Here is a 25,848-nt window from a genome sequence, read left to right as displayed (position 1 = left end):
AAGTAACTAACTTGTTTTTGATTTTATAAGCTCAAAGGTGGAAGGGACTTGCCTTGTCTCAGATGAGACTTCGAACTTGGACGTTTAAGTTAATGCTGGAATGCATTAAGACTTTGGGTAACTGTTGGGAAGGCATGATTGTATTTTGAAATGTGAGGACATAAGATTTGGGAGGGTCTAGGCTTGGAATGATTAGGTTTGGTTGTGTCCCCACCTAAATCTCATCTTGAATTGTAGTTCCCATAATCCCCACATGTTGTGGGAGGGACCAAGTGGGAGGTAGTTTAATCACAGGGTGGTTATATTCCTATTGTTTTCATGATAGTGAGTGAGCTCTCCTGAGATGTGATGGTTTTATGAGAGGTCTTTCCCCAGCTTTGCTCTGCACTTCTCCTCGCTGTCTCCATGTGAATAAGGATGTGTTTGCTTCCCCTTCTGCCATGATTGTAAGTTTCCAGAGGCTACTCCAGACCTGCGTATCTGTGAGTCAGTTAAACCTCTTTCCTTTATAAATTACCCAGCGTCAGGTACATAATTATAACAGCTTGAGAATCGACTAATACAGGTGGATATGTTGATTATCTAAGGCCATGGCATGGGTCTATGGATAATGTCAGGCTCACACTCAATGTATACTTTACATTTTGTTGCCTCTATAATATTGATTAGAGATGAAATGCATCAAGGAAGCATTTATAATACTGAAAAAAATTATCATACCACTGTCCACATGTGTCAAAGAAATATATACATTCCAAGATCTTTAAGGGTAACTAAAGGAGGGGAAAATTTAAACAAATTGATAATATTGATTTCATTTTTTCAAATGCATGAAGTGATTACCTTTTCAAATTACAGTAAGGAAAAAATTTAAAAAACAAATCAGTATGCATACTTTGAGATTACAAATAAGAATTATGTGAAACTGTGAGAGATGACAGATGAAAAATAAATTATATTAAAAGTCACATAGGCCTTTTTCTAACCCACCTTCTTGGAATGATTTAAATGAACAAGGAAAGACATTCCTCAGCCCTTGAGTTAAAACTTAAGACATTATTATTATTACAATTACAGAAAAACAAGCATGAAATATCAAAATATGTGAAAGAAACATATAGCTTTTTGTGCAAGATGAACAAAATTAATAGGCAAAGGCCATTGCATAATCTTTGAAAATCGTAACTTTACCAAGATTGTGGCAATAAATATTTATTCCACCAATTTAGGAAACACTGTCTACAAAATGCTAAAATTGCCCTTTCTTCTACTAGGTGTAGAGAAAAGTGAGTTTTAAATTACAGATAATTTATCTGCCTTAAAAGCCATTCACTTACTTTTGGCTCATAGGTTAAACATGTTTATTTTTTCACGTAGATTTTGTCTGTTATTACTTAAACTGCTCTTCTACAGTGATCTGAAACATAAATTGCAGGAAGTATGGTAGAAGAAATTCATTATAGGAAAAAACATACATTTAACTAAACAACAGCTCCCTGTATTGCACATCTAGAATAATATTTACATCCACCTTTCCTTGCTTAGATCTGTATTACAAATGGAGGTGTCCTTTCTAATGTCACAGGAAAAATCACTTCCCTGGTTTTAGTATTCATCACATTCTCTTCCTTTATTTTCACGGGTCTTCCTCCTTCAGTTATTGTTTCCCTTTCACATAGGTAAGTCTTTTGCTCTTTAGTGGTTCTCACAAATATATATATATATATTTTTCTCTTTTTTTATTATACTTTAAGTTCTAGGGTACATGTGCACAACATGCAGGTTTGTTACATATGTATGCATGTGCCATGTTGGTGTGCTGCACCCATTAACTCGTCATTTACATTAGGTATATCTCCTAATGCTATCCCACCCCCATCCCCCACCCCACAACAGGCCCCAGTGTGTGATGTTCCCCTTCCTGTGTCCAAGTGTTCCCATTGTTCAATTCCCACCTATGAGTGAGAACATGCAGTGTTAGGTTGCTTGTCCTTGCGATAGTTTGCTGAGAATGATAGTTTCCAGCTTCATCCATGTCCCTACAAAGGACATGAATTCATCCTTTTTTACAGCTGCCTAGTATTCCATAGTGTATATGTGCCACATTTTCTTAATCCAGTCTATCATTGGTGGACATTTGGGTTGGTTCCAAGTCTTTGCTATTGTGAATAGTGCCACAATAAACATACATGTGCATGTGTCTTTACAGCAGCATGATTTATAATCCTTTGGGTATATACCCAGTAATGGGATGGCTGGGTCAAATGGTATTTCTAGTTCTAGATCCCTGAGGAATTGCCACACTGTCTTCCACAATGGTTGAACTAGTTTACCATCCCACCAACAGTGTAAAAGTGTTCCTATTTATCCACATCCTCTACTGCACCTGTTTTTTCCTGACTTTTTAATGGCTGCCATTCTAACTGGTGTGAGATGGTATCTCATTGTGGTTTTGATTTGCATTTCTCTGATGGCCAGTGATGATGAGCATTTTTTCATGTGTCTTTTGGCTGCATAAATGTCTTCTTTTGAGAAGTGTCTGTTCATATCCTCTGCCCACTTTTTGATGGGGTTGTTTGTTTTTTTCTTGTAAATTTGTTTGAGTTCATTGTAGATTCTGGATATTAGCCCTTTGTCAGATGAGTAGATTGCAAAAATTTTCTCCCATTCTATAGGTTGCCTGTTCACTCTGATGGTAGTTTCTCTTGCTGTGCAGAAGCTCTTCACTTTAATTAGATCTCACTTGTCAATTCTGGCTTTTGTTGCCATTGCTTTTGGTGTTTTAGACATGAAGTCCTTGCCAATGCCTATGTCCTGAATGGTATTTGTAATGATTCTTAAAAGCTAAGTGATTTTATTGCTATACACATGAAATAAACTAAATTACTTATAGCCATTTATTATTTCTAGTGGTTACTATTGTTGTCTTAACTACGTATTAAGAATAAATGCATTTCTTGGATACTAACAGACTATCAGTTTTTAAAGGACTTTTGGTGATCACTATTGGTTTTCTATGCATTCGCAGGATAAAACGTACATGTTCCTCATCTCAAGTCTAATGACAGAGAATCAAGGAATGCCATGTGGGAAGTGCCATATGCATTTCTTATAGTTGAAGAATACATTGTATTACTGTCAAATTCCTTCTTGACAGCTCTACAGGTCTAGAGATGAACTAGCTAGCTGCTTATGGACAAGCCAAAGTAGATCTTTCTGTTGTAGTGGAATCGGTTAGGACAAGATTTTATTAGGGCAAATAATGAATATATATTATTAGTGTTTTATGTAGACTGGCTGGAAGCTATGAAAGGAGAGTGCACAGGAGAGTGTCATTCTAGGTCTTTCCATGAAATGCACTTGGCAAGGAAAATAGACTCGGCAGAGTAAAGCTAGGAAAGCTAGAAAGACCTCAGAGAGGGAGAGAGCCTGACCCAAAGGAGGGCACTGCTGTGAGACATGACTGGCAGTGGGGGAGTTTCTGTAAGGAACCACAAATGACTTCCTGGATAGACTTGTTATGTCATCTAATTTCTCTTATTTTGTTCCATCCATAGGCTTGCATTCTTGGAAGGTAAAGGGATAAGAAGCTGTGAAGGTGAGTTACCATGAGAGATAAAGAAAAAATAATCTAACTTACACTCTTGTTCTCAGAGTAGAGGCTTATCACTCACTACAGGGTGGAACTTAGGTTTGGAAAATACTGTGACTAGTTTTTTTATTATTATTATAAAAGACTGGGCTTTTTATTGTTGTTGTGTATATATATTTATTTATTTATTTATTTTAGATTTTTTGTGATTTAAAATAATCAGAGAAAAATGACAAGTCCTGTCAGCTTTTTAAAGTTAAAAACTTAACTCCGTCTAATAAAGACACACTGGGAAATGAATACAAAGTTACTTTACTATTTAATCTCATCATGCATGTTTGTTCATCTTACTGGTTTCTACCATTTAGACATACAAGATGCTGGTTGAGTTTTATATAACTTTGTAGGTACATGTATGAGTGCTTCTTTAAAATAGATATTTAAAAGTACAATTCCTATTCTTATGCCTTAAGTTATATGACTTTTAAATTGGACTAAATATAATCAAATAGTACTCCAAAATGTTTAGAACAATTTGTACTCTCACAGCAATAAATAAACATTTGTTGTTTACCATAACCTTTCCAACATTTCATGTATTTTATGATTTAAACTGGGTTTTTTAAACTATGTCTCAACGTTTTAGTTTTTCCATAGTTTCACATACCATTGCTTATCTTTTTTTGTTTACATTTTATATCTTGTTTAAGAAAATATAGTCTTGTGCAAAAAAAAAGATCGTTGTTAATTATTTTAAAGTTATCTCTTATTTACACTTGAATCTTCAATCCAGTTGTACTTAATTCTTGATCCTTATGATTTATTTGACTATAAATATAAAAATTCAGTTTACCCAATACCATGTTTGATTAGATTATATTCTTCTCCTAGTTAATGTCCTCTATTTGATTATAATACGGTTTCTGGGTTTGATTCTACTTTTGCAAAAAGTGACAAATTTTATATAGATATAGCATTAGTATCTGTGGTCATGTTTATATATACATATCTATTTAAATTAACATATATCTTCTACATATGCATTCATAAAATGCAAGTAGTAATTATTTTCTCAACTATTTTTTCTGATTTTTTACATACAACAATAAAATATTTTTAAAGTAACTGTATATAGAATATTTAAATAATTAATATAAAAATAATCATTATCTTTGAATGGGAAATATATAGCATAAAAATAGTGATATATGCTTTGTCAGAACAGACTTTTTTATACTATTTTTTGGAGTATACATTTTCTTTCTTTTAAGCAAGAGGCTATGTGAATCAAGATTTTTTAAAGTTTTATGTCCTTTTATCATTAAGTTTAGTTCTAGAAGCCTAACCCCAATAAATAATCAAAACCATCCACACTTATAAGCCACATTGCTCATTGCAACTGTGTTTATAAAATAAAAAACATAGATGCCCTAAATTCAAAACATCATTTTAATGATCAAGTAAAGATTGTTAATAAAGAAGATGGAAATTTATATTTAATTCAAATTAAATTTTTAAATATTTTTACTGATACGAGCAAATGTTATTAACATACCACTTATGAGAAAAATAACTTTACCCAAAATAATACACAAATTTATTAAATGAAAACAGAAAACTATATAGTAACATAATATTTTAACTAAAAATAGCTGAATTACATTTATCTGCACATGCTTGTTTTGGTTTGTAAAATCCTAAAGATAGACATGGAAAGGTAACAGTAAATGTTAGTTTTTTTTAATCATCAGATGAAAGCTCTGGGAGAAAAAGAAATTATTAACGGAAATACACATAGTTTCCAGAGGCAAGACTAGAAGCAAAGTCTAATATTTGAAAGTGGTTATTTTGATGTCAAGGAGATAGATTATTTACTCCTTTATATATTTGCCATAATTTAAATATTTTTGTACACTTAGCACATATTTATTTTATAAACATAATTCAATTTATTTTCTTATTTGAAATAAATGTTTAATGATAAAATAGTAATGCAGTAATGAATACTAAAAAGTGTAATACTTAATCATACTTTTCAGGAGCAAAATCACCTATAGAGATATATCTTAAAACATACATTTTTCTCTGTGTCTAAAAAACCAGTACCCAAATTCATAACAGTAAGCCAGTGTCACTCACGCTGCTACCAATATCAAAGTTGACAGACAAGCCCCAGAGCAGGTGGATTGCTTCAATTATTCACCATCTACAATGAATACAAAATAACTTCTAAAAGCTTTCTGGAGATCTGTAAGATGCTGGCTATGGCTTATAGCAATATGACATTGATGATGAAGCTTGGACAAGATAAAAGCTCAAAAATAAAAAGAATGACAAGGCATTGTTTTTTGTGGCCTTTAGTTTGGCAATTATTTAACTATAACTGCAACAGCTGGCCACTGAAAGGACGGTATCAGGACCCCTTGAAGGGTGCTGGGATGTGATGCTATTGGCAGGCCGCCTATGAGTCTGAGATGAAATAAGCCCAGCAACTGGACGTTTCAGCAGCTGGCCAGACAAAGGATATTGTTCAGAGATTTAACAGCTGATAATTGAGCATTCTAGTAATATTTGTTGAAAAGAAAGTGGTCACCAAATGGATAATATTCGAAAACAATCGATATTGATATTCTAAAGTTTGAGAGCAGGGTTTATGAGAAGGTAAGCCAAGAAGCATGAGATTGTCATTATCTCATCTTTTTCTGAAAGACTTTCAGAAAGATTAGGTTGGAGATTTGTAGTACAAAATGAAAAGAATCATGCTTATACTCCAACCTTGAACAGGCATTTTATATAATATGACTTCCTCCTCACAAATCCATCATATTGCCCTGAAACAATCCATTTCTTCTTTACTGCCACCTCATTGTTTTTCCTAACATGGTAATATTGTGTAATATACCTCTTTAAATATTCTTTCTGTTACCTCATAAAAGAAAATTGTGTCTATTTTTCATTGACTAATATATTTAACTCTTTTATAAGTCCATTTACTCAAAAACATAAAAAAAAAACACCTGAAAGACAATTCATTCTGAATAAAACAAAGTAAGTAGTGAAAAAAAATTATACATTTCACTGATAGTAAAGATGAATTTATCTTGTTTTATGGAGATACACTTAAATACAATAGAAAAAATACAACACCTTAAATTATTAATTTCTCTACAAATTTAGCTTTCAAAACTTAAACGATACCATATAATTATAATATTTACATTTGATGTGAGGAAAAGTATATTTATTTTCATAATTAAGAATCATCATATACAGTTAGTGATTTATAAGCCCTGGGTAACTAAAAAATGAAAATATTGAATTTGGATTTTCATGCAGATATTTCTGATTTGTTTTTGTACAAGTAGCTTTTCAAACATTCCCTAATTTAAAAAAATCACTTTTGACACAAGTTCAGCATTTCAGAGTTTTCCTATAGCATTCATTAAGGTACATGCCTTTTTGGAAATGTTCCATTAAAGCATAATTGTTTGAAGAAACTGGTAGAATTTAGTTACAGCAATTTTCATTGATTTAACATGAAGAGAATTCTGACTTCTCCAAATGGGGTAGCTCATGGATTTCCCAGGACATGATGCCAAATGAAATACACAGTACAAAATTAAGGGGCAAACAAAGATCTCATCTTATCTCACTTTATCAGTTACAAGCACTTTATCAGTTACAAGCACCATATTGAAAACAAGAGTCAGAAAGTGAGAAAAGAATTATCTATTACTTTTAATAGGACATATGGACAAAATAATAAATGTGAAGACACTGACTAGAAAGAGTTCAAATCCATGAAATGGTGATTTGAGCTCTTTAGGGTTTAATGAGCATTGGAAGAGTATAAGCTTTGTACAAGTGGGGTCATGTTTCACTATAAAAATGTGTGCTGGCCAACAAAAAAAGAAAAAAGCGCTTCTTGCTTTTTGTTGAAAAATCCATAATCCTTAAGATATCTTAACATTTGTGAACAATGGAAGTTCCCAATAGATAATTTTCCCTTTTTTTTTTTTTGGGTATTTTTTTGAAAAGAGATAACTCAGAATAAGTAAACTTCCAAACATTTTTAGGAAAAACCTTTTTGATAACTTTCTCCATTTCACAGAAATCCATTAAACTACATTTAAAAAACACAATAAGAATGCATGTGTGTGTAGACTTAGCCATATGATTCTACATATATATGTACATATGTATTCACCTATATACCTCTCTACTTTCAGAATGATGATTGGTTAGCATCCAGTATTCCTAACATGATATGTTTTGCAAAAAATGATTAGAAGTGTATTGCTTCACCTACTAACATCTTCTTGGTGTTAGTAGAAATAGTAATTATGAACACCAAAATTGTTTATGAATAGTTTTCTGGTAATTTATTTCCATTATTGCATTTTGATGACCTCAGAACACAAAGTCATGTAAGCAGGTTAGTATCACCATTGACTACTTCCCCTTGGTTTTTAAAGCAGTCATATTATGACCTTGCAATCAATTGGTATTCCCGTTCTCCACATATGGCTCCTATGTTTAAAATATAATTCTATTTCTGCTTAAGTTGCATAAAGTAAGTATATATATGTGTATATATAATATGTAAATTATAGTATATATATGTATATTATATATTATATAATATTGTGTGTGTGTGTGTGTGTGTGTGTGTGTGTAAGAGATAGAGGGAGAGACAGTCTCATTCTGTTGCCCAGGCTGGAGTGCAGTGGTGCAAACTCAGATCGCTGCTCCTAGGCTCAAGGGATTCTTCTGCCTCAGCCTCCCAAGTAGCTGGGACTACAGGTGCACAACACCACACTCAGCTTAATTTTTTTTTTTCTTTTTTTGGTAAAGACAGGGTTTTGCAATGATGCCCACGCTGGTCTCGAACTCCTAGCCTCAAGTGATCCACCCAACTTTGCCTCTCAAAGTGTTGGAATTATAGGCATGAATCACTGTGCCCAGCCTTACTTCTTTACGTATATATTAAGAGAGAAAATAATGCAGTACACATTTGCCTCACAGTTTATGAGTGCATAGTTTATTATTTTGCTTTCATGGATATATACATTATTTTATTTTCTCTATTATAAGAAAACTGGGAAAGAACATGTAGAGATAATAATCATCTTTTCCAGAGAAAAATGGGCTTGAGTGAATACTCAAGTTCAAATTTCTTTTTACTTACTGGGAGTAAATTATAATAATGAGCTCATATTTTATGGATTTTACTAATTATAAACCAGAAAATATTTTGTTACATGTAACTAATCAAAATCATTTTTCAGTGAAATTTTACAGTGGAATGGAATTTGATTAAACCATCAGTCCCTTCAAATGAAGAGATGAAAATTAGGATTTGGAGAGGTATAAGTTACTAGCTAAAATTCTAGCTATAGTTAGTGTCAAAGGAGAATGACCATCATCTTTTAACTTATCACTGGGCTCTTTAAACTACTCTATCACTTTCTCCTCTTATCCTAAGAATATATGCTGTATAATATAAAATATATTAAGAATAGGCTATGAAATTCAGCCCCTAAATTTGAGTTTTCACTATTCCCTATTCTTTACATGTCTAAAGGTGAATACGGTGAGCAAAATTCAGCAAAATAAAAGTCCCAAACAGATCTCTAATATATATTACTCAATCCAATTGACCTATAACTCTTACAAATTTTCAATCCAAGCATCACAGGCTTGAAAATGTAATTGCTTTTAACTGCTCCCTACTGTCCCATTTTAAGCTATCCATCTGTATTTCTGCTTTGGAGAAATGTAGAGAAAATTAATGTGACTGTGAATCAAAATGATAGGTATAAAACAGTATAATATTTGTGGCTTTTGTACTGACTTTTTGGGTTGAAGGAAGAAAAATACAATAATTGAGTTTTATTTCTTGTCTTACTCCCATTCACACTTCAAAAATTATCTTCAACATTAAAAAAGATACAAAAATCTCTAGATAACCTGTGATAAAGGGAAAATAGTTCCTTAAATCTACATGGTTAATCCTAGGCACTTCTAATCAGAGATTACAATAAAGCAAAATAGATCACCATTTTGTTAGAAGTATGTCAGTGTTATTACATCCATAAATTATAATAACTTTTTTAAGTTTAAAATGAGGCCATTGTGATTTGTATTGAATAGCTTCTTTGAAATTATAATCCAGTGTTCAAGCTCTGAGAAACTACAACATAGCTTGTCAATGGTTTAATATAAAAGGAAATTCATTCTTTACCTCTATCCCTCAAAAGACATTCAAAGTTAAGAAATATCTAACATACAACATCCTTTCTTATAGTTCCTATAGGATTAGACCCAATTTACCACAGTCTATATTGCAGAGCTTCTTATCTCCATCCCAAATATACCTTTGTCAGTTCCCAGTCCATAGTACTTTTTCTTGCCCTTTCACCCCAAATCCCTTCCTTATCCCTTTAAAATATGACTATAATTTTTTCCATCTTCTACCTGTCATTCATTGTAGAAGGTTGCTACTTAAAAAGTTTGTAAATATTTGCTTGGAAACAAAGGAGGGAATAGTAGAAACATTATTTTGCATTCTTGAAAGATGACAATTAAAGTTATGCAGCGGTAAAATAAAAAAAAAATAGTGAAAGTTTTACCTGAAATACAGTACTTGGGAGACAGGTGATATACAAAATAAATTTTTAGGATGAGAGAAAAAAGACACAAAACAATGTTATTATTATTTGTCAGGTTGTATTGACTTCTCCTTGATAAGAAAGAGAGGAGCTCAAGAAAGAGTTTGCATTGGCAAGCAAGATTGCAAGGTTACGAGAAATTCATGGCCTTGCAATGTTGGAAAAGCCAACCAATCAACTAATTTCATACTCCAAACGGTGAGAGAAGAAATGCAAAATGTTTTGGTGGGGGAAGAAAGATAGACTTATGGGTCTGCTATCACACATACGATTAAAACCCAAGGTAAATAGAAATGTTTCAGATGAAATCTAAAGGTCTAGGGAGAAGGAAATCCTTTAAATTAGACAAAAAATGACTCAGGGGAAGAAACAATTAAGAATGTTGACTCTTCCACCAAAGTTAGATAAGCTTGAATTATATGCGAACACAATTAAGTAAAGTGGAACCAAGATGGAGAAACAACAGCAAAGGCATATCCTGCTTCTGGAAATTGTCTCATAAGGAATTTGGGGCTTGTTTACTTGGAAATGTATTTGACTGACTATTTATGAGAGATGTAATGCTAGAAGAATCACTGATCTGGGAAGACACTGAAAAAAGTTACTATTTAAGACTGAAAATTGGATCCTTAGAAGCCTAGGGACTGAGAACAAGCTGAAAATGCTACTTATTCCTAAGTCCCAGGTGGCTTCTCAGATACAGTCAAAGACAATGTAGGAAAATAAGCAATTCTTAAAGTACTGAGTCATGGAACACAGAGTTATCCTCAGAAAGAGACATTTGTAAAAATTTATTTACTGCAAGAAATTGCAAACATATATATATATGAAAAAAACAGCTGAAATTCAGATTTCAAGTACAAGGAGTGAGATTCTTCTATACTGCTTTTAACAGGTTTATCGATGTGTTTCAACTAGGTGAAGTTAACATAGAAAATGGTTTAACTGATCTCCAATCACTGCATTCAAGTATGCCTTCAATCAAATTTAAGTTTAAGATCCTTGAGGGCAGGCATTTTATTTGTTTTGTGCATGGCTGTATCGCCAGCAACTAGAGCAATGCCTGCTATGTGGTAGGTGCTCAGTAAATATTAATTTGCTAACTGAATTAATAAATGCTTGTTTTAGTCCATTTTCACACTGCTGATAAAGACATACTCTAGACTGGGAAGAAAAAGAGGTTTAATTGGACTTACAGTTTCACATGGCTTGGGAGGCCCCCTCAGAATCATGGCAGGAGGTGGAAGGCACTCCTTACGTGGTTGCAACAAGAGAAAAATGAGAAAGATGCAAAAGAGGAAACATCTGATAAAACCCTCAGATCCTGTGAGACTTATTCACTACCATGAGAACAGTATTGGGGGAACCTCCCTCATGATTCAAATTATCTTCCACCGGGCCCCTCACACAACACATGGGAGTTATGGGAGTACAATTCAAGATGAGATTTGGGTAGGGACACAGCCAAACCATATCATTTCGCCCCTGGCCTCTTCAAATCCTGTGCCCTCACATTTCAAAACCAATCATGCCTTCCCAACAGTCCCCCAAAGTCTTAACTCATTCTAGCATTAACCCAGAAGTCCACAGTCCAGAGTCTCATCTGAGACAAGGCAAGTCCCTTCCACCTAAGGGGAAATAACAGCAGTGACAAGAGTGACTATGGTTTTCCACATGCCATCTGGGAAGACCTTAGTTATTGGTATTCAAAATCTGTCAAAGAAAATATAAAATAGCTGAAGAATATCACAAACCACAAAATGTTTGCTAATATGAAAAGTTAATTTCCTCAGAGCAACAAGAGTATATGGGGTTATGAAGCTAGAATTGTGCTTACCTCCACCAAATTATAACTGAGAGGAGGAAAAACAAAACAACAAAAATCGGTTGGCGTAAAAGATGGGACATTGGCCAACATCAAAGATTAGCCCCTTTGAGTCTCTCTTGCAACACATATGGCATTGGGGAAAGAAATACTGTCCCTATAAAATGCATATTTATAAATCCTTCCACAACCCAGAGACAAGCCTACATTCAGTTTTACATTCATTCAAATACTCTTCTGCCATCAAATGAGAAGAATTAGAAAAATATTTCTTTAAATGGTCACAAAAACAAATGTTTATTGTGTCATTTATTATTTATTAATAGAGTAGAATACTTTTTCTAAGTAGCAGATACATTTTTATAAGGGAAGGATTAAATGGTAAAATACTATGATTTTATTTCTGTGGTCTTAGAAGTTGGTACACTTTTTTCTTCTTTACAGAATAACTTAATATGTATAAAACAACGTAGGACCAGAGGTGAAAATCCGCATTTATTTGTTGAGACTGAGAATAATTGAGTTTGGGAAGCAGTCCTAAAGAAATTCATATATATGTGCATATATATGAAGTCATAGTTCTCGCATATAATTATATACATAGTTACATATAATACATAGTTTACATATATAATGTGTATAATAAATATGTGTATACGAGTATTATATTTAAATAATATATTATGTGTATATGTGTGCATGTGTATGCATATTCATATATTTATTCGTATATATATTCATATATATGTATTCATATATATATATACACATATATATTCAGCCTAGACTGCTCCTCTGAGATTCAAATTCCAATACCTAACTGCCTGTTTAATGTCTCCCCATAGATACCTAATAGTTTCCTTATATGGCATTGCTGACTTTTTTCCTCCCAAACCTACTCCTCTCAGTTTTCCTCACTCAGCAAGCAGCACCACCGTTAATCTGGTTGTTCCTGGACAAATATAGCATGTCACCTTTTACCTCTCTCATTCTACCTCAGCCTATATTCAATCCTACTTCCCCTTCCGTTATATTTTACAGATGTTATTTCCCCCAAAACCTCCTGTACTTCTAACTCCTTCCCAGTGTCTGTTAACTGGAAGTCCTGGACTGACACTCTTCCCATGATGTATAAGGCTGTCAAGGATCTGGGCTTATTCTTTTTGGGAGTTCTGTCCAATCTTTGTAAGCAAGGAGATATGTTAAATTATACTTTATTTTCTAGATTTTGGGCAAGCCCTTCACTTCCCATAATTTGTATGTTCTGTGTTATAAGCCTGACTTGTGTGAACGATGATTTTGAGAACTCAATATATACTACTTTAATTTGTCAATTTACAATAAAAATACACTTTTAAAAAAGAATAATGAGACCACTTTCCTCATTTAGGTTACGTAATGGAGATGAAAGGCAAGCTACAGGAAGTGAAATTGGCAATTCTTCTTGGTCCCTGTTTGGGAAAATGTGAATCTCATCCTCTCAGTTTCTAGTTTGACAGACTATAAGGTAAGGAAAAAAACTCAAAACAAACAAACATGAGCCATTGGCAAGGTTGGTCTGACAGGATATGAAATCAAACACCGAAGAAGCTTTTTAGGACCCTATAAAATGTTAAACTTACTATAAATTTCTTATTGCACCACGAAAGCATAAGTAAGGCTAATAAATCAAATAATTTTGGAGAGCCTTGGGTCTAATTTTTAGAACCAACAATAAAAATGGGTTTTGAACATAGATGTCCAAGATTTGGCACACACAGGAAAAGCTGTAGATAAACAATGATGTCTAATATTGTTCAGGATGCTTAGCTCTTGTAGGTTTATAGCATTTGAAATAAAGCCTCAGATTTCCTGGTGCCTATTATGTCATATGAGTCTGGAGCCCTGGATTCGTCTTCAAACAATTCATTTGATTTAACTGAACCCAGTGCATACTTTAGCTACTAGAATTATTCAATGTCTATTTTAACTGAAGAACTCTGAATACATTGATGATCACTAGTCATTTCATGAATATAAGTTATGTTTTAACCTAAATGCACTGGCCCTATTGCCTATATCTTTATTATACTAGCTTCACTAGTCTTGGATTTGAAACATGTTGAGATGTGTTGAACATGTAAAACACATACTGTAACTATGAAGCTTTAGAAGACAAAATTATGTATAACACATCAACAATTTTTACATTGCTTACATGTTAAAATAATTATATTTTAAATATATTTGATTAAGCAAAAGATTATTGACGTTAATTTAACCTCTTCTTTTTATTCTTTTAAATATGCCTACTAAAAAATAAAATTACATATTTGACTTGCATTATATCTCTATTGGATAAGTTTAATCTATATGTCTTTTAAAATGCCATTTCATTATATGGTCAAATAGTCCATCAGAGAATAGGCCCTATCAATGAGTTGACATATAGAGTCTAAAAATATGAAAAGAAAGGAATGCATGGATAGTAATTCCATAATTGATCATTGTGATGCTCTTTCACCTTGTGGAAAATTTTGTGAAGAAAAACAGATTATTTATAACATTATTAACCTTTCCTGATCTTTGAATATATATTGAAATTTAAATGTTCACAGGAAAATTTAACTCTAAATCATAATGCATACAATGCTGGCTCTGGGGTATTAATGTTCATTTAATACTGACATTTTTCCCATTTTATTGTGAATATTTGCAAGTTATATTGCAAGAATATTTGCAAGTGGTTAAATTAACTGCAAAGTATAGAACAGTTGAGAGAAACTTCTACGGAACATCCATATACCCAAACACTTAAATTCTACCATTAAATTTTTTTTCCAGGCATGAAGTGTTTATTGAATGTCTGCTATTTATAAGGTTTCAGGGCTTACAATCACAAAGCAGAGGGAGCTTCTTAATGTCATGGAGGATGAAGTCTAGAAGAAGAAATATACACAAAACACACAGATGCACAATTACCTGTGATATGTTTTAAGAGACAAAAGCACAGAGTGTGATGGAAAATAATGTTACAGGTGGTACTTGCATTTGAGATTGGAAACTTTTTGTCTGAGGCTGAGCATGGGTTGGTTGAGGAGAAAAAATGTTGGAACTGGAGGGAGATTCAAGACAGAAGAAACAACCTGCACAACAGCCTGGTGGCAGCAGGAGTTGACAAATTTTAGAAACTGAAAATAGCCAGTAAGCCCTTGAAGTAGGTTACTTGGTCTCTCCAAGTCTCTGATTCCCCATTACACCCTAAGCATAGTGGACAAGGCAAAGATGATAGAAGCTGAGGCCACAGAGGTAGGAAGGGGTCACTCATTTAAGACCTTGGAGCCTAAAGAAAGAAGACTGCATTCTATTCTGAAAAGCGTGAAGTCACTGGAGGTGCTTTACCTTTTTATTTGCTTTTATAAAGTGGGTATTTTCTTTCATCATATTTCTTTTTATGACTTACTTTCTGTTTCTAACTTTCATAATTTTTGAAAGGCTGGATCTCCTGGCAACAAATTCTTAGTTTTCCATCATCTGATAATGTCCTGATTTCCCTCATTATAGTTGTGTGAGAGTAAAGGTCCTCTTTGGGGTGCACTTTGGGGTACACTTAAATTCTTGAATCTGCAGATTTACATATTTTGCAAAATTTGGGGACTTTATAACTATTATTTCTCCAAAGACTTTTTCAGATCCACCCTCTTCCTCTCCTCCTGAGAGAGACTGATGACATGAAAGTTAGGTCTTTTGTTACAGTTTTACAGTTCTTGAGGATCTGTTCTTCTTTTTTGTTTTTTTTTCAATCTGTTTTCCCTGTTACTCAAGTGGATTATTTCTATTGTTCTCTCTTCAAGTTGACAGAGTCTATCCTTTGTCTTCAACATTCTAATATTAAGCAATCCATTCTTAAAATGTCTTTTTCTTTCAGTTATTATATGCTTCAATTCAATGGAACCAAGAAACACATTTCCATTTCCATCATTTTGTATTTATGTCTCTACTAATCATTTCTATTTTTCAATTTGTTTCAAGTATGCTCATTTTTGTGATTGCTGCTTTAATATACTTGCCATATAATTGCAATATCTGTATAATTTGGGTGTTGGCCTCTGTTGAATGACTTTTCTAATTCCAGTTGAGATTTTCATGTTCTTGGTTTAACAAGTGATTTTGTATTAAATCTTAGACATTTTGAGTCTTATGTCATGAAACTCTGAATTATATTTAAATCATCTGTTTTACTAGGCCTTTTCTAACACTGTGCCCACAGAGGAGAGAAAGTACTATCTCATTACTGCCAGATGGGGCAAAAGTCCAGGTCTTCCACTCTACCTCTGTTGATACCCCAGGAGTGAGAAGGTGCCTCCCTACTACAGGGCAGAGTGTGGTGAAACCTCTCCCTGGGCTTTCCCTAGTACTAGGCTGGCTGGAGAGTCAGGGGTGCCTTATGACTGCTCCACATGCCCTCCTTCTTTCCCAGGTGAGAGACATGTTATCTTTGGGCTGTGAAAAGTCCTGGCTCTCCAGTTGGCCTCCTCTGACACCTTCTAGCAGGTTGAACCAAAAGGGACCCTCATTAAATCAGGGTGGATGTAGTTTAAGATCTCTATGTGGTCTCCACTGACTAAAGATGGGTGAGGGCAAAACAAAACCTCTCATTATCATGCAGATGTAGTGAAAGGCAGTTCTTCATTCTGCCTTCAGTCCTGTTGTGACATACTTCTGGTGGCAATCCAAGGGTGCTTCATTACAGCTGGCTAAGGGTGGAAGACTAGGCCCCCCGTTAGGTTTTTCTTGGAAGGGCTATTGTGAGTCCACACCTTAATGTCTGGACAGTGGGGCAGTTCTTACTTAGATGTTTTCCTTCCTGCTAGGCTGTCTTTCCCCTGGCTTTTCAACTAGAGAGATCAGGCTCTTGTTTGGCTTTTCTGTCTTTAACTGTTGGTGTTTTGTGACTCCCAACTTCTCTACCTCCCAATCAGTCATATATGAAGCAAAAAGAAAACCTAGACAACACACTGCCATGTCATTCTTTGTTCACAAGGGCCTTCAACAGTCTACCTTCTTCCCTCCACATTTTCGTTATCTTATGTTGATTTTATGTAATTACATTTGTCCATGGTTTTCAGCTACACTTTGTCAGGCCTCTGAGCCCAAGCCAAGCCATCGCATCCCCTGTGACTTGCACCTATACGCCCAGATGGCCTGAAGTAACTGAAGACTCACAAAAGAAGTGAATATGCCCTGCCCCACCTTAACTGATGACATTCCACCACAAAAGAAGTGTAAATGGCTAGTCCTTGCCTTAACTGATGACATTACCTTGTGAAAGTCCTTTTCCTGGCTCATCCTGGCTCAAAAAGCACCCCCACTGAGCACCTTGTGACCCCCACCCCTGCCCACCAGAGAATAACCCCCTTTGACTGTAATTTTCCATTACCTTCCCAAATCCTATAAAACGGCCCCACCCCTATCTCCCTTCGCTGACTCTCTTTTTGGACTCAGCCCGCCTGCACCCAGGTGAAATAAACAGCCATGTTGCTTACACAAAGCCTGTTTGGTGGTCTCCTCACACGGACACGCATGAAATTTGGTGCCTTGACTCGGATCGGGGGACCTCCCTTGGGAGATCAATCCCCTGTCCTCCTGTTCTTTGCTCCATGAGAAAGATCCACATACGACCTCGAGAAAGATCCACATACGACCTCAGGTCCTCAGACCAACCAGCCCAAGAAACATCTCACCAATTTCAAATCCGGTAAGCGGCCTCTTTTTACTCCCTTCTCCAACCTTCCTCACTATCCCTCAACCTCTTTCTCCTTTCAATCTTGACGCCACACTTCAATCTCTCCCTTCTCTTAATTTCAATTCCTTTCAATTCCTTTGGTAGAGACAAAGGAGACACGTTTTATCCGTGGACCCAAAACTCCGGCGCCGGTCACGGACTGGGAAGGCAGCCTTCCCTTGGTGTTTAATCACTGCAGGGATTGCTCTCTGATTATACACTCACGTTTCAAGGGTGTCAGACCACACAGGGATGCCAGCCTTGGTCCTTCACCCTTAGCCGCAAGTCCCGCTTTTCTGGGGAAGGGGCAAGTACCCCTCAACCCCTTCTCTCCTTGTCTCTACCCCTTCTCCTTCACCCCAGTGGCAAGTCCCGCTTTCCTAGGGGGCAAGAACCCCCCAATCGCTTACTTCCACACCCTGACCTCTTATCTCTGTGCCCCAATCCCTTATTTCCGTGCCCCAACCCCTTCTCTGCTTTTCTGGAGGGCAAGAACCCCCCACCCCTTCTCCGTGTCTCTACTCTTTTCTCTGGGCTTGCCTCCTTCACTATGGGTAAGCTTCCACCTTCCATTCCTCCTCCTTCTCCCTTAGCCTGTGTTCTCAAAAACTTAAAACCTCTTCAACTCACACCTGACCTAAAACCTAAATGCCTTATTTTCTTCTGCAATGCTGCTTGACCCCAATACAAACTGGACAGAAGTTCCAAATAGCCAGAAAATGGCACTTTGAATTTTTCCATCCTGCAAAATCTAAATAATTCTTGTCGTAAAATAGGCAAACGGTCTGAGGTGCCTGACGTCCAGGCATTCTTTTACACATCAGTCCCTTCCTAGTCTCTGTGCCCAGTGCAACTCGTCCCAAATCTTCCTTCTTTCCCTCCCGCCTGTTCCCTCAGTACCAACCCCAAGTGTCGCTGAGTCTTTCTAATCTTCCTTTTCTACAGACCCATCTGACCTCTCCCCTCCTCGCCAGGCTGAACTAGGTCCCAATTCTTCCTCAGCCTCTGCTCCTCCACCCTATAATCCTTTTATCACCTCTCCTCCTCACACCTGGTCCGGCTTACAGTTTCGTTCCGTGACTAGCCCTCCCCCTCCGCCCAGCAATTCACTCTTAAAAAGGTGGCTGGAGCCAAAGGCATAGTCAAGGTTAATGCTCCTTTTTCTTTATCCCAAATCAGATAGCGTTTAGGCTCTTTTTCATCAAATATAAAAATCCAGCCCAGTTCATGACTTGTTTGGCAGCAACCCTGAGACACTTTACAGCCCTAGACCCTAAAAAGTCAAAAGGCCGTCTTATTCTCAATATACATTTTATTACCCAATCTGCTCCCAACATTAAATAAAACTCCAAAAATTAAATTCCAGCCCTCAAACCCCACAACAGGATTTAATTAACCTCGCCTTCAAGGTGTACAATAACAGAAAAAACTTGCAATTCCTTGCCTCCACTGTGAGACAAACCCCCCAGCCACATCTCCAGCACACAAGAACTTCCAAACTCCTGAACCGCAGCGGCCAGGCGTTGCTCCAGAACCTCCTCCCGCAGGAGCTTGCTACACTTGCTGGAAATCTGGCCACTGGGCCAAGGAATGCCCGCAGCCCGGGAGTCCTCCTAAGCCGCGTCCCATCTGTGTGGGACCCCACTGAAAATCGGACTGTTCAACTCACCTGGCAGCCACTCCCAGAGCCCCTGGAACTCTGGCCCAAGGCTGTCTGACTGACTCCTTCCCAGATTTTCTCAGCTTAGCGGCTGAAGACTGACACTGCCCGATCACCTCGGAAGCCCCCTAGACCATCACGGACGCCGAGCTTCGGGTAACTCTCACAGTGGAAGGTAAGCCCGTCCCCTTCTTAATCAATACGGAGGCTACCCACTCCACATTACCTTCTTTTCAAGGGCCTGTTTCCCTTGCCTCCATAACTGTTGTGGGTATTGACGGCCAGGCTTCTAAACCTCTTAAAACTCCCCAACTCTGGTGCCAACTTAGACAATACTCTTTTAAGCACTCCTTTTTAGTTATCCCCACCAGCCCAGTTCCCTTATTAGGCTGAGACACTTTAACTAAATTATCTGCTTCCCTGACTATTCCTGAACTACAGCTATATCTCGTTGCCGCCCTTCTTCCCAATCCAAAGCCTCCTTTGCGTCCTCCTCTTGTATCCCCCCACCTTAACCCACAAGTATAAGATACCTCTACTCCCTCCTTGGCAACCGATCATGCACCCCTTATCATCTCATTAAAACCTAATCACCCTTACCCCACTCAACACCAATATCCCATCCCACAGCACACTTTAAAAAGATTAAAGCCTGTTATCACTCGCCTGCTACAGCATGGCCTTTTAAAGCCTATAAACTCTCCTTACAATTCCCCCATTTTACCTGTCCTAAAACCAGACAAGCCTTACAAGTTAGTTCAGGATCTGCGCCTTATCAACCAAATTGTTTTGCCTATCCACCCCGTGGTGCCAAACCCATATACTCTCCTTTCCTCAATACCTGCCTCTACAACCCATTATTCTGTTCTAGATCTCAAACATGCTTTCTTTACTATTCCTTTGCACCCTTAATCCCAGCCTCTCTTCACTTTCACTTGGACTGACCCTGACACCCATCAAGCTCAGCAAATTACCTAGGCTGTACTGCCACAAAGCTTCACAGGCAGCCCCCATTACTTCAATCAAGCCCAAATTTCTTCCTCATCTGTTACCTATCTCAGCATAATTCTCATAAAAACACACGTGCTCTCCCTGCCAATCGTGTCCAACTGATCTCTCCAACCCCAGCACCTTCTACAAAACAACAACTCCTTTCCTTCCTAGGCATGGTTAGCGCAGTCAGAATTCTTACGCAAGAGCTGGGACCACACCGTGTAGCCTTTCTGTCCAAACAACTTGACCTTACGGTTTTAGCCTAGCCCTCATGTCTGTGTGCAGTGGCTGCTGCTGCTTTAATACTGTTAGAGGCCCTAAAAATCACAAACTATGCTCAACTCACTCTCTACATTTCTCATAACTTCCAAAATCTGTTTTCTTCCTCATACCTGATGGATATACTTTCTGCTCCCCGGCTCCTTCAGCTGTACTCACTCTTTAAGTCCCACAATTACCATTGTTCCTGGCCTGGACTTCAATCCGGCCTCCCACATTATTCCTGATACCACACCTGACCGCCATGACTGTATCTCTCTGATCCACCTGATATTCACCTCATTTCCCCATATTTCCTTCTTTCCTGTTCCTCACCCTGATCACGCTTGATTTATTGATGGCAGTTCCACCAGGCCTAATCGCCACACACCAGCAAAGGCAGGCTATGCTATAGTACAAGCCACTAGCCCGCCTCTCAGAACCTCTCATTTCCTTTCCATCCTGGAAATCTATCCTCAAGGAAATAACTTCTCAGTGTTCCATTTGCTATTCTACTACTCCTCAGGGATTATTCAGGCCCCCCTCCCTTCCCTACACATCAAGCTCGAGGATTTGCCCCCACCCAGGACTGGCAAATTAGCTTTACTCAACATGTCCCAAGTCAGGAAACTAAAATACCTCTTAGTCTAAATAGACACTTTCACTGAATAAGTAAAGGCCTTTCCTACAGGGTCTGAGAAGGCCACCGCAGTCATTTCTTCCCTTCTGTCAGACATAATTCCTCAGTTTAGCCTTCCCACCTCTATACAGTCTGGTAACAGACCAGCCTTTATTAGTCAAATCAGCCAAGCAGTTTTTCAGGCTTTTAATATTCAGTGAAACCTTTATATCCCTTACGGTCCTCCGTCTTCAAGAAAAGTGGAACGGACGAAAGGTCTTTTAAAAACACACCTCACCAAGCTCAGCCACCAACTTAAAAAGGACTGGACAATACTTTTACCACTTTCGCTTCTCAGAATTCAGGCCTGTCCTCGGAATGCTACAAGGTACAGCCCATTTAAGCTCCTGTATAGACGCTCCTTTTTATTAGGCCCCAGTCTCATTCCAGACACCAGACCAACTTAGACTGCACCCCCCCACCAAAAGAAAACTTGTAATCGCTACTATTTTCTGTCCAGTCATACTCCTATTCACCGTTCTCAACTACTCATACAGGCCCTGCTCTTGTTTACACTGCCGGTTTACACTGTTTTTCCAAGCCATCACAGCTGATATCTCCTGGTGCTATCCCCAAACTGCCACTCTTAACTCTTGAAGTAAATAAATAATCTTTGCTGGCAGGACTATGCCAAATCTCCTTAAGCACTCTCTAATCAGATATCCTGAGTCGTCCCAATTCTTAGATCTTTTATACCTGTTTTTCTCCTTCTGTTATTCCATTTAGTTTTTCAGTTCATACAAAACCGTATCCAGGCCATCACCAATCATTCTATACGACAAATGTTTCTTCTAACATCCCCACAATATCACCCCTTACCACAAGACCTCCCTTCAGCTTAATCTCTCCCACTCTAGGTTCCCACGCCGCCCCTAATCCCGCTTGAAGCAGCCCTGAGAAACATCGCCCATTCTCTCTCCATACCACCCCCCAAAAATTTTCGCCACCCCAACACTTCGACACTGTTTTGTTTTATTTTTCTTATTAATATAAGAAGGCAGGAATGTTAGGCCTCTGAGCCCAACCCAAGCCATCGCATCCCCTGTGACTTGCCCGTATATGCCCAGATGGCCTGAAGTAACTGAAGACTCACAAAAGAAGTGAATATGCCCTGCCCCACCTTAACTGATGACATTCTACCACAAAAGAAGTGTAAATGGCCGGTCCTTGCCTTAACTGATGACATTACCTTGTGAAAGTCCTTTTCCTGGCTCATCCTGGCTCAGAAAGCACCCCCACTGAGCACCTTGTGACCCCCACCCCTGCCCACCAGAGAACAACCCCCTTTGACTGTAATTTTCCATTACCTTCCCAAATCTTATAAAACGGCCCCACCCCTATCTCCCTTCGCTGACTCTCTTTTCGGACTCACCCCACCTGCACCCAGGAGAAATAAACAGCCATGTTGCTCACACAAAGCCTGTTTGGTGGTCTCTTCACACGGACGCGCATGAAACACTTGAAGGGAGAAATAGAGAAAAGTTCATGTATTCCATCTTGTTGAAAATACTGAATTTTAATACTATTTGAGAATCAGAGACTACATGCGTAATGTACACACACACACACACACACACACAAAATAAACACACATGCACAATGATATAAAGTGCTATATACTCATCTCCCTTCACATAACTTGTATCTTAGCAACTAGCAATGGTTTTTCATTATCCAAATTTTGTCCCATCTCAGGTATAAAAATATAAGGCCCATAAGTATTGATAAGACAGTTTGGCTTTCACAAACAATTAGAAACTTTCTCTTGTGTAAAAAAATCATCTGATAGTAACAATTCTAAAATATTTTGGTTTGTGCTTTCAACATTTAATGAATCAAGTCTAATAATGATATTCAGAAAATTATTTGGGGGGCAAATTTCAAGGTAATGATTTTTAATAAATATATTACTGTATTGTAATTTCAATAATATGCTGATAAAATTATAACATTATTTTTTTCTTAATCATAAGTGACTTCAATACCTGCTTTTAAATTTTTTAAGCTTATGTTACATTATATAATTTAGGAACTTGATATTTCTCCTCTCTATTTTATTAAATCATTTGTATTCTTGTAAGCTATCATGAAAACTTATATAAAAACAGAGATTGTCTTAGGTTTGGTTGTTATGAGAGATAGTTCAAAGAAACACTGGAAAAGGAATAAAAGTGAGACTTGGACAGGAAAAAAAACAACCAAAGACACATTAATGTGAGCGTTAGTATTGGGGCCACTGGTGGGTAAATCAGTGGATCTCTTGGAGACCGTATAAATCCTGCTCAGACTTTCCCACCACAGGGCAGAGAAAATGAATGTATTAATCCATTGATCCCCACCCATTTTTGCTTGCGAGCTGAACTTGGGGTGTTAACTCCCTAGCATCCTTAAGAAAGAATTTTCAGATGTTGCATTAAGAAATCATCAGCATTTACGGGAATGAGAAATGCCAACGTTGTATGGGCTGGCTTCTGACTGTGCCTGTCACACTGGAGTGAGTATAAGTAAAAAAATTAAATAATCAAGCAAATAAACAGCTACTATAAGCATGCATCTATGTGTTGAAGCAGTCAGAACTGCTTCATTAGATGTCTTGTCCCTTCGCTTTAAAGAAACTTTAGAGCAAAGACAGTTCAACTTTTCTTCCAGGCAGATTACTGTCCAGGGTTTTAAATTTTAACAAAATGAGGGCCATCCCACCACCATACATCAGTCCTGTCCCTAAAAACTTTGTATCTACACACACACACACACACACACACACACACACACACACAATTCAGCATTGAAAGAAAACACTAAGATATTCCAGTTATTTCCTTATTTAATGCCCCACAAAATAGTTGGTTTTAGTTTCTGCTTAAACAAATACTTTAAAACACTTTATCATTTATTTCATGGATATGAATTATAATCATCATATTTAAATATTTCCTGCTACCCAATTGAACCCCAAAATATTTGCCTATTTTATGCACATAAGAGACAAATATGACAGGGCTAAGCCACTCAAAAAATTACCTTAAATAATCTAATTTTTACTCAGTTGATATTTTTAATCTACATTTTGGGTAAAACATCAATGACATTCTATCTGGGTCCCTTTAACCATCTAAACACAAGCTCTGGAACCACATATTCCCCACTTGGTGGCAACTTTGGTCAGCAATTGCCCTGGACTTTCCCCACTTATATTTAACAGGTTGTCACTCAGACTCTCTCAGGAAAACTCGGGACTGTTCTCCAGAAGTTCTTACCTCACAGTCTCTGAATTTATCCTCCATTAAAGGAGTGTTCCTGCCACTTGGTCCTTGGCTTTTCCAGAATGACTTTTGTTGTTTTTATCACTTTAGCTTTCCCCTAGTTCTTTTATACCAGACTGTTATTCTTAAGTTTCCACAATGTGGATTTGTTCTCTCAAAATCGTGCTTGCTTTTCATGTCTTGAGGGTAAGGAAAGTAGGAGACAAATAGTGCCTTCCATATATCCCAAAGGATTTAGGCAAATGTAAGATAGAGTTCGTTCCTCAAGGATTTAAATGCACAATTTCACCTTCTCCAGAAAAGATAGTGAAACCATTTCCTGTCTTCCTATTTTATGTTTATATCAACAAGTGTTATAATTCAAGATAATATGTACTTCCTTTTATTCAAACAAAGTTCGTTCTGGGTAGAGAAAGTTAAGAACATGAAATGACACTTTCAACAGAAAGTGTTGTGTTTTTCAACAGATTTTGTCTCTTTGTAACTGTGACTAGAATTGAAGAAATATTTTAAGTCTATTTATCAATATACACATAGCACACACATGCACACTCACACACATTCATTGCTGCACACCTTTAAAAAATGCCCCTTTACAACCAGAAAATTGGTCTGTGCACTCTATCTGCTCAAATAAAGTAGAGTTTAATACAATCTGGCAATGCTGTTTAGGTTACAGCCTACATATTTTGCCCTTTATTCTCTTTTGCTCTTTTACCCAGAGGAGTCTATCAAGAAACCATGTACAGAAATATCAAGTAAAATATATCATAAAAAAGGGACTCTGAGAACCTAGTGACCTGAAAAAATGTTACTTATGAAACTAATGACCTAAGAATGCCTTTAAATCGAAGAGCATCTAGTACAGCAAAGAGACCTTCAAAATGGGCATGTAAGCACTGATCCAGATAGAAGATTAAATAGCACGATATATTAAAAAGCATAAGGTAAAATAAAAGTTGGAATTTTTCACTTGAAACAAGTATTTCACCCAGCAGCTGAGAAAGCATGCCTGCCTGCCTTGACATAATTTTATAGTCCTTTCTTGTTTTGGTGTTGGACTAGTTTACTCATTTTCTATATACAAAGAAACTGTAATAAGATATTTATATAACAAGTCAAATATTGATTCATGGGTATAAA

General features: G+C 36.9%; 1 long non-coding RNA gene across 1 annotated transcript, besides 4 other annotated features; it reads left to right on the top strand.

The window, feature by feature from the left end:
• Window positions 1–3,555: 3,555 nt before the first annotated feature.
• Window positions 3,556–25,646, top strand: LOC105377901 (uncharacterized). The gene is made up of 3 exons (XR_942793.1): window positions 3,556–3,598; window positions 13,479–13,595; window positions 25,428–25,646. It is a non-coding gene; the product is annotated as an uncharacterized LOC105377901 (long non-coding RNA).
• Window positions 16,328–17,249: an enhancer, noted in NCBI's record as "OCT4-NANOG-H3K27ac hESC enhancer chr6:95269284-95270205 (GRCh37/hg19 assembly coordinates)". NCBI's record gives its function as "activates a minimal SCP1, AML or CMV promoter by ChIP-STARR-seq in naive and primed H9 embryonic stem cells {active_cell/tissue: H9 hESC(naive and primed)}" and the evidence as "EXISTENCE:reporter gene assay evidence [ECO:0000049][PMID:30033119]".
• Window positions 17,250–18,172: an enhancer, noted in NCBI's record as "OCT4-NANOG-H3K27ac hESC enhancer chr6:95268361-95269283 (GRCh37/hg19 assembly coordinates)". NCBI's record gives its function as "activates a minimal SCP1, AML or CMV promoter by ChIP-STARR-seq in naive and primed H9 embryonic stem cells {active_cell/tissue: H9 hESC(naive and primed)}" and the evidence as "EXISTENCE:reporter gene assay evidence [ECO:0000049][PMID:30033119]".
• Window positions 19,096–20,019: an enhancer, noted in NCBI's record as "H3K27ac hESC enhancer chr6:95266514-95267437 (GRCh37/hg19 assembly coordinates)". NCBI's record gives its function as "activates a minimal SCP1, AML or CMV promoter by ChIP-STARR-seq in primed H9 embryonic stem cells {active_cell/tissue: H9 hESC(primed)}" and the evidence as "EXISTENCE:reporter gene assay evidence [ECO:0000049][PMID:30033119]".
• Window positions 22,131–22,935: an enhancer, noted in NCBI's record as "OCT4-NANOG-H3K27ac hESC enhancer chr6:95263598-95264402 (GRCh37/hg19 assembly coordinates)". NCBI's record gives its function as "activates a minimal SCP1, AML or CMV promoter by ChIP-STARR-seq in naive H9 embryonic stem cells {active_cell/tissue: H9 hESC(naive)}" and the evidence as "EXISTENCE:reporter gene assay evidence [ECO:0000049][PMID:30033119]".
• Window positions 25,647–25,848: the final 202 nt, after the last annotated feature.

The sequence above is a fragment of the Homo sapiens genome, chromosome 6, assembly GCF_000001405.40.
Source record: "Homo sapiens chromosome 6, GRCh38.p14 Primary Assembly".
NCBI classification, from domain to species: domain Eukaryota; kingdom Metazoa; phylum Chordata; class Mammalia; order Primates; family Hominidae; genus Homo; species Homo sapiens.
This window is presented reverse-complemented; position numbering and strand designations above follow the sequence as displayed.